Here is a 13,313-nt window from a genome sequence, read left to right as displayed (position 1 = left end):
GGGCAGAGGAAAAAAAAAAACCGAAGCACAGAGTAGCGGGGCCTGCGTCCCCTACGGATGAAAGTGTCTTCCCATCAGCCCCTGCGCTGGGCTCCGTCGACCCTGGCGACCCTCGTTCGAGCCCAGGGTGCGCCTTGGGCTCGCTAGGGGTACCCAAAAGCGGGCAGAAGGCCCATGAGGGGAAGGTGAGGCACCTGAGGCAGAAAAAAAAAAAAACTGTGCCGCAGAGAAGCAGGGCCTGGTTCCCCCACGGACGAAAGTGTCTTCCCATCAGCCTCTGAGCTGGGCCCAGGGGACCCTGGCATCCCTGGTTCAAGACAAGGGTGCGCTTCGGGCCTCTTGGGGTACCCCATGGCGGGCAGAAAGCCTATGAGGGGAAGGTGAGGTTTGAGGGAGGAGAGGTAAGGCACCTGAGGCGGAAAAGAAAAAAATAAAACTGCGCCACAGAGAAGCAGGGCCTGGGTACCCCACGGACGAAAGTGCCTTCTCATCAGCCCCTGCACTGGGCCCCGGGGACCCTGGCATCCCTGGCTGGAATCCAGGGTGCGCCTCTGGCCTGCTAGGGGTAACCCAAAGCAGACAGAAGGCCCATGAGGGGAAGGTGAGTCACCTGGGGCAAATAAAAAAAAAAAAAACCGCGCTGCGGAGAAGCGGGGCCTGGGTCCCCCATGGGTGAAAGTGTCGTCCCATCAACCCTTGCGCTGGGCCCCGGGGACCCTGGCGACCCTTATTCAAGCCCGGCTTGTGCCTGGAGCCGCTAGGGGTACCCCAAAGCGGGCAGAAGGCCCATGAGGTGAACGTGAGGCACCTAGGGCAGAAAAAAAAAAAAAACGCGCCTCAGAGAAGCGGGGCCTGGGTCCCCCACAGAAGAAAGTGTCTCCCCATCAGCCCTTGCGCTGCGCCCCGGGGACCCTGGGATCCCTGGTTCGAGCCCAGGGTATGCCTCGGGCCGCTAGGGGTACCCCAAGGTGGACAGAAGGCCCATGAGGGGAAGGTGAGGCACCTGGGGCAGAGAAAAAAAAACTGTGCCGCCGAGAAGTGAGGACTGGGTCCCCCACGGACGAAAGTGTATTCCCATGAACCCTTGCGCTGAGCCCCAGGGATGCTGGCGCCCCTGGTTCGAGTCCAGTGTGTGCCTAGGGCGGCTAGGGGTACCCCAAGTCGGACAGAAGGCCCATGAGGGGAAGTGAGGTTTCAGGGAGTAGAGGTGAGGCACCTGTGGCAGGTGCCCATCCGTAAACTGTTTATCCATGTGATCCCTGATGTTCACCGGGGGCTGGATGTCCCCCTGGGGCTAGATGTTCGCCTGGAGCCTGGTGTCTACCTGGGGCCTGATATCCAGGAGAGGCTTAGTTATCCACCTATGGCCATCTGGAGCCAGATGCCCACCTGAGGTCTGGTGTACACCTAAGGCCTGATATCTACCTGGGGCTTGGGTGTTCATGTGGGACCTGATGTCTACCTAAGACCGTGTGTTCACCCGGAGCCTGGGTGACCATCTGGGTTATGATGTTCAGCTGGGGCCCAGAGTTCAGCTAGGGACTGGGTCAACCTTCTGCTTGTTGCACAGCTGGGGACTAGGTATCCACCTGGGCTCCGGTGTTCACTGGGGCCTGATGTCTGTCTGGGGCCTTGTATTTACCTAGGACCAATGCATCCACCTGAGGTCTGAGTGCTCTAATGGAGCCTGGAGTTTTCCTGGGGCCTGGGGTCTGCCTTAGGCTTAAGTGTACATCTGTGGCCTCATGTCCACCTTGGGATGGATGTCCACCTGGGGATGGATATTCAGTAGGGACCTGAGTGTCCACCTGGTTTTTGATGTCTACCTGGGGCCTGGTGTTCATCTGAGGTTTGATATCCACCTGGGGCCGGGACATTTGCCTGGAACCTGATGTACAGCTGGTGCCTGAAGTTCATCTATGCCTGGTGTCCCCCTGGGGCCAGGTAGTCAACATAGGGCCTGAAGACCTTCTAGAGTTCAGTGTTCACCTGTGGCCTGAAGTCCACCTAGGGCTTGGGTGTCCAAGTAGGGCCTGGTGTCAGCTTGAGATTTGTGTATTTACCTAGGGCCTGGTTGTCCACTGGGGGCTTGATTTTTTACTTGGTTTTTGTGTTAATTTGGGATCTAGTGTCCACCTGGGGCCTAGGTATCCACCTAGGGACTATTGTCCAGCTGGAGACTAATGACTACCTATGGCCTGGTAATCACCTAAGGCTTTGTTTCACTTAGGTACTTGGTGCCAAACTGTTGCCTGCTGTTCAGCTGGGGTATGGTGTCCACCTGGGGTCTGGATGTCAGCCTGGGGCTTGTTGTATACCTGTATCTTACATATCCAGATAGGAGTCTATTTTCTGCTTAGGTGCAGCAGTCCATCTGGTGCTTGAGTGTCAACCTAAGGCCTGATGTCTATGTTGGACCTTGGGTTCACCTGAGGCCTGATATCCACCTGGGGCCTCAATGTCCAAATGGGGCCTGATGCCCATCTGGGCGCTGGGTGTCCACCTGCAGCATGGATGTCCACTGGTACTTTATGTCCACCAGGGGCCTAATGTCCACCTAAAACCTGGTGTTCACCTGGGGTCTGATGTTCAGCTGAAGACCAGATGTCCACCTGGAGCCGAGGAATCCACCCAGGGACTGGTGTTGAACTGGGGCCTGATGACCACCCGGGGACAAGGTACACACCAGGCTTGTTGTCCACCTGTCACCAGATGTCCATCTGAGTCCTGATGTCCATCTTGATCCTGGGTGTCCACATTAGGCCTGATGTCCACCTGGGGCCTAGGTACCCACTGGGGGCTTCCTGTTAACCTGGGGGCTGGTGTCATTCTGGGGCCTAATGACCACCTGGGTTGTATTATTCACCTAGGGCCTGGTGTCCACTTGGGGCTTGAGTGTAACCTTGGACCTGGCACCCACACAGGACTTGGGTATCAAACTGGCCCCTTGGTGTCCAGTTAAGGCATCATGTGAACCTGGCGCCTGAGTGTCCACTTGGGGCCAAATGACTACTGGGGGCCTGAATGTCAACCTAGAATCTGAGGTTTACTAGGGGCCTAGGTATCCACCTGGGGCCCAATGTCCACCTGAGCCTGGGTGTCAACCTGGGGCCTGATGTAAACCTCTAGTTCAGTGTCCACCTTGGGCTTGATGTCAACCTGGAGCCTGATGTCCACCTGAGTACTGATGTTCACCTTTGACCTGATGTCCACCTGTGGACTGTTTATCCACCCATGGCCTGATGTTCACCTGGGGCTGAATGTCCAACTGTGACCTGTTGTGCACCTGGAACCTAGGCATCCACCTGCAGCCTGATGTTCAGCTGGGCTGGGACCCGGAGTTCACCTGAGGCATGATGTCCACCTGAAGCTTGATGTTCACCTGGGGGCTGGGTGTCCACTTGGGGCCTAATATCCACCTGGACTAGGTACCCACCTGGGATCTGGTGTTCACTCAAGATTGGTGTTCAGCTGTGGCCTAATGACCACCTGGGTCATGATGTCTACCTTGGACTGGGTGCTTACCTGGAGCCAGTGTTCACTGGGGACCTAGTGTGCACCTGAGACCAGGGGATGTACCTGGGGCCTGGTGTCTACCTGGTGCCTAGGTATCCACTTGAGGCCTAATGTTCATCTGGAATCTGGTATCCACCTGGGGCCTTGTAATTACCTGGGGTCTGGGCATCCACCTAGGGCTTGAGTATCCTCCTGGGGCCTTGAGTTTTACTGGGGACTCGTGTCTGCCTTGGACCTGGGTGTACATCTGTGGCTTAATGTACACCTTGAGAGTGATGTCAACCTGGGGACAGATGTCCTCTTGGGGTCTGAGTGTACACCTGGTGTCTGATGTCTGCCTGAGGACTTGTGTTCATCTGAGACCTGATATTCACCTGGGGACTGGGCGTCCACGAGGGGCTGATGTCCAGCTGGACACTGGATATCCACCTGGGGCTTAAGGATCCACCCAGAAACTGATGTCAAACTGGGGCCTGATGCCTACCTGCGGACTAGGTATCCATGTGAGGCTTGATGTTCATCCGCAGCCAGACGTCCATCTGATGCTTGATGTCCACCTTAGTCCTGGGTGTCTACTGGAGACCTCATGTTCAACTAGAGCTTAGGAACCTACTTGGGGCCTCGTGTAAACCTGGGGACTGGTATGCAGCTGGGTCCCAATGATCCCCTGGGTCATATTATTCACCTAGGGCCTGGTGTCCATTTGGGGCTTGAATGACAACCTTAGGTCTTGTGTTCATCTTTGACGTGGTGTCCACCTGGGACTTGGTTATCAACCTGAGGACTTGGTGTCCAATTGAGGTGTCATGACCACCTGGGGACTGAATGTCAATCTGGGGTCTGATGTAAACCTCTAGTTCAGTATCCACCTGGGGCCAGATGTCTTCCTAGAGACTTATATTCTCTTTTGACCTGATGTCCACCTGGGGACTTGCTATCCATCCATGGTCTGATATTCACCTGGGGACAGATGTCCAACTGTGGCCAGAAGTGCACCTGGGGTCTGGGCTTCCACCTGGAGCCTGATGTTTAGCTGGGGCTAGAGTTTACATGGAGAACGATGTCCACCTGAAGTTTGATGTTTACCCGGGGCCTGATACCTGCCTGGTGCCCAAGTATTCTCATGTGCCTAATGTCCACTAGTTGGCCTGGTGTTCATCTGAGGGCTTGGAGTCAACCAGTGGCTTTATGTACACCTGGATTCTAGTGTCCTCCTGGGGCCTTATGCTTACCAGGAGTCTGGTGTTCCCCTGGGGTCTAGTATCCACCTGGAGTCTGGGTGTCCACCTGAGCCTAATGTTGAGCTTAGACTGAGTGTCAGCCTGAGGCCTGATGTCTACTTAGGGCATAGGTATTCACCTGGGGCTTGTTGTTTACCTGGAGACTAATGTCAACCTTGAGCCTAGGTATCCACCTGGGGAATAGTGTCCAGTTGCAGCCAGATGTCCACCTATGGCCTGAAGCATGGTTGTTATCCTAAGGTCTTGTATTAGTCCATTTTCACACTGTTATAAAAAACTACCTGATATTGGGCAACTTATGAGGAAAAGAGGTTTAACTGACCCACAGTTCTTCAGGCTTAATAGGGAGCATGACTGGGTGGGCCCGGGACACTTACAATCATGATGTAAAGCCAAGAGGAAGCAAGCCCTTTTTACCATGGGGGAGGAGGAGGGAGAGAGAAGGGGGATGTGCTGCACACTTTCAAATAACCAGATCTCGTAAGAAGTCTATCACGAGAAGAGCAAGTGGGAAGTCTGCCCCCATGATTCAATCACCTCTCACCACGCCCCTTCTTCAACCCATGGGGATTACAATTCAACATGAGATTTGGGTGGAGACATAGAGCCAATATCAGGCCTGATGCCCGCCTGGAGTCGTGTCTACCTGAGGCCTAATGTAGACATGACGCCTGGGCATCCACCTAGGACCTCATGTTAAGATAGGGGCTGGAGTTCTTTCGGTGTCCAGGGTATACCTGGGGCCCAGATGTATAACTAGAGCCTGATTTTCAGATGGAAACCTGCGCCCCAAGTGCTCATCAGATCCTAGGTGAAAATTCAGGCTTCAAGTGCACATCAGACTCCAAGTGGACACATAGGCCCCAGGTTGATACCAAGATTTCAGGTAGACTCTGGGTCCCAGAAAAACACCCCACCCTAAGTGGACAGCTGAACCTGAGTAGACATCAGGCCCCAGATCAACATCTGGCCCCAGGTAGATTCCTAGGCCCAAGGTGAATACTCAGTCTCCAGCCCTAGGGGAATTCAGTGTTAGATGACTAAGGACTGGTTTTCCTCTGGGTCCTCATGTCTACCTGGGCCCTGGGAGTGCACAAGGAGCCAGATGTCTATAAAGGGCCTGAGTGTCCACTAGGGCCTGAGGTTCACCAGGAGCATAGACATCCACCTAGGACCTCGTGTCCACCTAAAACCTGGTATTCACTTGGGGCCTGGGTGACAACCTGGGATCTGATGTTCACCTGAGGCCCAGAGTTCAGCTGGTGCATATGTCAGCCTGGCACCTGATGCACACGGGAGGACTAGGTGCCCACCTGAGGACTGGTGTTCATGGGGAACTGGTGTTCAGCTGTGGCTTGATGACCAACTGGGTCCTGGTGTCCTCCTGGCACCTGATGTCCACCTGGGACTGCATGCTTACCCAGGGCCTGGTGTTCCCCTGGGGCCTGGTGTGCCCCTGAGACCTGGGGTCCACCTGGGCCTAGTATCCACTTGGGGCCTCATATCCATCTGGAACATCATGTCCACTTGGGGCCTTTTAGTTACCTAGGGACTGGGTGTCCTTCTGGCGCTTGAGTGTCCTCCTGGGGCCTGGGGTTCTCCTGGGGCCTGGGTGTACATCTCTGGCCTGATGTCCACCTTGGGATGGATGTCCATCTGGGAACAGATGTTCACTTGTGGCCTGAGTGTCCATCTTGTGTCTAATGTCTACCTGGGATCTGGTGTTTGCCTGAGGCCTTATATCCACCTGGGGCCTGGGCATCCATTTGAGGCCTGATGTCTACCTAAGACCCGGTGTTTAACTGGGGCACAGACTTCTTCCTGGAGCCCGACGTTCATATTTAGCCTGAAGTTCACCTATGCCTGTTGTCTACCTGTGGCCTATGTGTCAACCTAGGGCCTGAGGACCACCCTGAGTTCAGTGTTCACCTGGGGCCTGACATCTGCCTGGAGTCTGGGTGTCCACATAGGGCCTGATGTTGGCTTGGGACCAAAGTATTTACCTAGGGCCTGGGTGTCTACTTAGAGCCTGACTTCTACATGGTTCATTGTGTCAACCTGGGGCCTGATGTCCTCTTAGGGCCTAGGTAAGCTCCTTATGACTAAAGTCCACACAGGGGCTGAAACCATCTCAGACCTTGTGTTAATCTAGGGCTTAGTGTCCACCTGAGGCCTGCCTGGGACCTGGAGACCTCCTGGGGTCAATCTATCCACCTTGGGCCTGATGACCAATTGGGGCTTAAGGATCTACTTAGAGACTGGTGTCAACCTGGAACCTGATGTCCACTTGGAGTCTGGTGTACACCTTGGGCCTGATGCCCACCTTGGCACAGGTGTACACTTTGGGCCTAGTGTGCACTGAAGCCTGGGTGTCAACCTGGGTCTTGATGCACACCTTTAGTCAAGTGTTTAACTGGGGCCTGATGAAATACTGCAGCCTGATTTACACCTGTGTACTGGGTCTCCACCTGGGGCCTGATGTCCTCCTGCAGCCAGATATCCACCTGGCAGTAGACGTCTACAAGGAATCTGGGTGTCCACGTTGAAAATGATGTATTCCAAGAGACTAGGCATGCACATTGGGCCTGGGGTCCACCTGGGTCCTGATGTCTACCTGAGGCTGGTATTGAACTGGGGCCTGTGTGTTCACTTGGAGCCTGATGTCCATTTGGAAACTGGTGTTCACCTAGAATATGGGTATCCACCTGGATCCTGATTTTCAGGTGGGGAGTGGATATAGACCTGGGACCTGATGGCCACCTATGCTATAAGTAACCCAACCACCTGAGGCCCGATGTTCACCTGCAGCCTGATGTCCACCTGGTATCTGTGTGTCAATCTAGTGCCTGGTGTCCACTTGAGGACTAGGTAGACACCTGGGGCTTTGTGTTCACCAGGGGCCTGGTGTTCATCTTGCACCCAGTGTCCACCTGGACCCTGTGTATCAACCTGTGGCCTAGGTGGTCACTTGGAGCTTTATGTGCACCTGGGGCCTGAGAGTTTCCTAGGATCTGATGACCACTGGGGCCCAGGTATCCACCTGGGACATCCGGCTCCAAGTGTATATCCAGGCTCCATGTGGACACCAGGCCAGGAGAACGCCAGCCCTTATCTGAATATCAGGTCCTAGATGGATGCCCAGGCCCCATGTGTACATCAGTCCCCGGGTATACACTGGACTCCAGGTGGACACCAGCACTCAATTGGATACACACACTCAAGGTGGACACCAGGCCCCACGTGAATTCGTACACTCCAGGTGAACATCAGGTCCCAAGTGGATACCTGGACTCCAGGTGTATACCAGTCTCTAAATTAATACCAGGCCTCAGATGGTCCTTAGGAGCCATGTGGGCATTAGTCATCAGGAAGTTACCTAGGCCCAAAGTGCACATCAAGCCACCTGTTGACACAAGATCTATTTGGAAGTCAGGCCCCAGCTGGACACCCAGGCCCTAGGTAAATACTTAGGTCCCAGGTTGACAGCAGGCCCTGTGTTAACACTCAGAACTCAGGTGGACATCAGGCCTCAGGTGGACATCTGAGTTCATCTGGAACCTCTTGTTACAGGCCCCATGTAAACAACAGGCCTTAGGTGGATACCCAATCTCTAAGTGGACATCAGAGCTCAGATTGACACAAAGACTCCAGTAGACATAATGTACCAATGAATATCCAGGCCTCCGGTAAATACCCAGGCCCCAGATTGACATCAGGGTCTATGTGGACACACAGGCCCCGGGTAGTAAACAGGCCCAAGGTGGACACTGGACTAGACATCAGGTCCTAGGTTGACAACCATGCTTCAAGTTGACACCTGGCCCCAAGTGAACATCTGGTCCCAGCTGGACACTAGTCTCCTGGTGAATACCTGGGCTCAAGGTTGACATCAGACCCTATGTGAACACTAGACCCCAGCTAAACACTTATGCCCTAAGTGGACATCAGGCCTCAGGTGGTTACCCAGTCCCAAGGTAAACATAGGACCCTGATGGGCACCAGTTATCAAGTGGATTCCCAGGCCCCAGGTGAATATCAAGTCCTAGGTGGATACCAGGCCCCAAGTGGATACCAGGATCTGGTAGACATCAGGTCCCAAGAGGACCCTAGAACCCAGGAGTACATTAGACTCAGCACTCAGATGAACATTAGGCTTCAGGTGGACATCGTGCCTCAGGTGAACTCCAGGCCCCAGATGAACATCAGGCCCCAGGTGGATGCCCAGGATCCGGGTGCACATCTGGCCACAGTTGGACATTCAACCCCAGGTGACCATCAGGCCATGGGTGAATACACGGTTTCCAGGTAGACATCAGATCAAAGGGGAACATCAGTCCCCCAGTGGACATCAGGCCCAAGGTGGACACTCAACTAGAGGTTTACATCAGGCCACATGTTGACACCTAGTCCCAGGTGGACATCAGGCCCCAGCTAGATACCTAGGCTTCCAGTGAATTTCAGAACCCAGGTTGACATTCAGGCCCCCAGTGGTCATCTGGCCTCATGCGAACACTCAGACCCAAGGTGCAAATGATGTCTCAACTGGATACCAAACCCCTAGTTTGATACCCAAGGCCCAGGTGGACACCAGGTCCAAGGCTGACACTCAAGCCCTAAGTGAATACCAAACTCTAGGTGAATAATTCAACCCAGGTGGTCATTAGGACCCAGCTGGATACCAGTCCCCAGGTTAACACAAGGCCCCCAGTGGGCACCTAGGCACCAGCTGGACATCAGGCCCTATGTAAACACCCGGGTCTCAGGTGAACACCATGCCCCAGGTGGACATCAGGCCCTAGGTGGATACGGGGCCACAGGTGGACATCTAGCCGCTGGGCAACATCCAGCCCCAGGTGGACATAACCGTTTCCATGGATAAACCATTCCCAGGTGGATAGCAGGCCTCAAGAGGATCGCAGTCACCAGGTACACATCAGGCCTCAGATAGACACCAAGTTCCCAGATGTACAGCAGGCCCCAACCAAACCCCAGACTCATGTGGACATCAGGGCACAGGTAGACACCAAGCCTTAGGTAAATACCTAACTTCAGGTGGACATCAGACCCCAGGTGGACACCCAGTCCCCAGGTGGACAGTCAGGCCCCAGGCCCACATCAGGCCTTAAGTGGACACCCAGGCCCCAGGTTGATATCCAGCTCCCAGGTGATCACCAAGCCCCAGGTAGACACCAGGCCGTAGGTGAGCAGCAGGATGCAGTAGGTCATCAGGCCACAGCTGGATACCAGTCCCTGGTGAACACAAGGCCCCAGTGGGACACAGATCTAAGGCAGACATCAGGCCCCAGGTGGACATACAGGCCTGAGGTGGAATTCACCCTGAGGGGGACATTCGGCCCCAGGTACGCATCAGGCCTCAGGTGAATAACCAGTCCCCAGCTGGACATTAGCCCACAGGTCAACCACAGTACCCAGGTTGATGCCTGGTCCCCAGGTGGCTACCCAATCTGCAGGGTAACATTAGGCCCCTGTAGGTTCCCAGGCCCCAAGTGGATTCCTAGGCCCCTGGGGAACATCAGGTGCAGGTGTCCAAGCAGGCCCTGGGTGGACATAACTGTGTACAGGTAAGGAGTTGACCTGTGGGGAAGGTGAGCAGTCAGCAGCCCACTGGGGTCCTGAGTAGGTCTTCTGGAAGGAGGAGGCCAAGGGGACGGAACCTTAAAGAAGCGACCTCACTTCCTTGGCAACAGACCCTAACGGAAATTAGAATTCTGGTAACCAGGCCAGGCACGGTGGCTCACACCTGTAATCCCAGCACTTTGGGAGGCTGAGGCAGGAGGATCATGAAATCAGGAGATCAAGACCAGCCTGACCAACATGGTAAAACCATATGTCCACTAAAAATACAAAAAACAAACAAGGTCAGGAGATCGAGACCATACTGGCTAACACAGTGAAACCCCATCTCTACTAAAAATACAAAAATTAGCCGAGCATAGTGGCAGGTGCCTGTAGTCCCAGCTACTTGGTAGGCTGAGGCAGAAGAATGGCATGAACCCAGGACGCGGAGCTTGAAGTGAGCCAAGATCGCGCCACTGCACTCCATCCAGCCTGGGAGACAGAGCAAGACTCTGTCTCAAAAAAAAAAAAAAAAACAAACAAACAAAAAAAAACAACTAGCCAGGTGTTGTGGTGCATGTCTTGTGCCTGTAATCCCAGCTACTCAGGAGACTGAGGCAGGAGAATTGATTGAACCTGGTAGGCGGATGTTGCAGTGAGCTGAGATCATGAAACTGCACTCCAGCCTGGCCAACAGAATGAGACTATGTCTCAAAAAAAAAAAAAAAAGAATCCCGATAACCAGGCACCCACATCCTAGAGTTAGCCCCATAGCCAGCTCACTTGGTGGGAGATGCTCAAGAGAGCAAGATGTTCCTGTGCTGCATCCGCACATCTCAAGGCTCCTGCTTCAGGAATGGCAGGAGTGAGAACCTTTCTTTTCTGACGATGCCCTTGTAGGCTCATCCCTCACCCCAGATGCCTCTGGCCATTTAGCAGAAGGCCCCCCCAGGTACCACAGGACAGGAGTCACCAGGTAGACATCAGGCCCCAGATGGAGCTACCAGGCCAGGCCTCACAGTGATCCCACCAGGGCCACATCTGCACATTGTCCTTGTCCAGCTGGAGCCTCTGGAGCTCATTGAGACACAGGCACATGCTGAGGTCACCTGCAGTCTGGAAGTCTTTCCAGGGACAATGTTTTCAGGCTGAAATACCTTTAAATTCAGTGAGGTTGTTTTCATGTTTGGAAATTCCAGTGGAAAGTGAGTGATATTGGTGACCTCTCTCCTTTTTCAGTTCCTGCTTCAGGTGCAGAAATACAGCTATTTCCAGTGCCAGCTGTGGAGCCAGTGCCAGCACCAGGGTCAAAGCCCCCTCCAGGGACAGCGCTGGAGCTAGAGGAGGCTCCAGAGCCCTCCTGCCATTGCCCTGGGACTGCCCAAGCTGAAAGTGTGGCTGGAGCTAGAGGTGGCAGAGAGGGGGTGACCAGCACAGCTCCAGCCAGCAGCTCCCACACTGCTCCCAGTCCTGGGCACAGTGGAAGCTATGGAGGCAGAGACCAGGGTGTGCAACCTGGGCTCCTCTGCCTCACTGGAGAGGGACTTCTCTCATTCAGCAGAGCAGCAGCCCTGCTGCTGAAGAGCCTGCTGCTACTGCTGCTGGGGTTGTTTGCCTGCCTACAGGAGGTGCTGGAGAGCAAGAAAAGGAGCCTGTGAGCAGGGGTTCCAGGAGGTCCTCCTGCTCCCAGAGGCGACCTCCTCCTCCAGGCATGGAGGTTTGCCCTCAGCTAGGCATCTGGGCCATTTGCCTCTAATGTTCTGCCCAGGATGGCCTCTTCTTGACAGGTGGACAGGGGTTGAGGGGGCCAGGGGGCATCTCCAAAGGAAGATTTAAACTCAGCAGCTGCACCCCAGAATCTCCATGCCTGCACCTGCCCAAGGATTTATTCATAGCTTAACTAAGAATCTCAAATTTCTACCATAACACTGAAATAAAGTTTGACTTTTTGAAACTTCCATGACTTCTTTCACTCCCTAATATTGTAGATGATGTTTTTAAGGTGACATTGAAAACCTCTGATAGTTGTGTGTTTAGTTATGGCTCTTTGTGTGATTAAATTACGATCTGATCAAGTGATATTGAAAACCCTTCAGGTATGGCTTTTAGAAGAATTTGACCTATTTTTGCTTGTGTTGACTCTCCCTCCAGCTTTGTGAAAAGAGGGATCATGTAGCTTCGTTTCTCAGGCAGATCAGTCACCTTTTGCCATCAAAGTTTTAGCATCCATTTCCAAAATTTGGTGTACAAGTTGATATTTTGGTGTTTTTAGCTAATCTGGGGTCAAAACAGAATGCCATAGATGAGGAAGCTTATAAACCAATTTGTTTCTTTCAGTTTTGGAGATGGCAAAATTCAAGGTCAAGTGGTTAGCAGATTCCATGTCTGGTGTGGGCTTGCTTTGTGGTTCATAGACAGCCATGTTTCTACCATGTCCTCACATGACAGAAGGGATGAGAGAGCTCTCTATGGTGCCTTCAATAGGGGCTATTAATCCCACTCCTGTGGCCCCTGCCTTCATGAGCTAATCATTCCCCAAGGCCCTACCTCCAAATATCACATAGGGAATTAGATATCAGCACTTGAATTTGAGGGGGACAATAACATTTGGTCTATAGAATTAGGTTACCCAGAGCCTTATGCATTCAGAGGAAATCCAAAATCTTCTATAAGTATTCGCTGGTCCCCTCTGGGCTTAGGGAAACCTTTAATTGCAGCTCTTGATTCAGCTTGGTCCAAGCTTAAATTCTACGTTTGCCTGAGTAACTTGTTCATGGGACAGAGGAAAGTTTAGAGGCAACTGACCATTTGGAGTTTTAAGACAATTGATGGAAGAGGGCTTGGCATCTGGATGAGAAGTGGAGAGAGAATAGAACAAAGGCACAGAAGGAGAGAGCACAATGAGAAAGGGGAAGAGGGACATCTGGACATAAGGGCCAACTGGAGGGCAGGGAAGGTAATTTTCCTTGCATTTTAAAC

The 13,313-nt window shown here is 53.4% G+C and overlaps 1 pseudogene; it reads left to right on the top strand.

The window, feature by feature from the left end:
* The first annotated feature begins 2,369 nt into the window (after positions 1 to 2,369).
* Positions 2,370 to 12,292, top strand: CDRT15P9 (CDRT15 pseudogene 9; annotated as a pseudogene).
* Positions 12,293 to 13,313: the final 1,021 nt, after the last annotated feature.

This window comes from Homo sapiens, chromosome 21 (genome assembly GCF_000001405.40).
Source record: "Homo sapiens chromosome 21, GRCh38.p14 Primary Assembly".
In the NCBI taxonomy this organism is placed as follows: Eukaryota; Metazoa; Chordata; class Mammalia; order Primates; family Hominidae; genus Homo; species Homo sapiens.
Note: the sequence above shows the minus strand (reverse complement) of the source record. Positions and strands in the feature narration are given on the sequence as shown.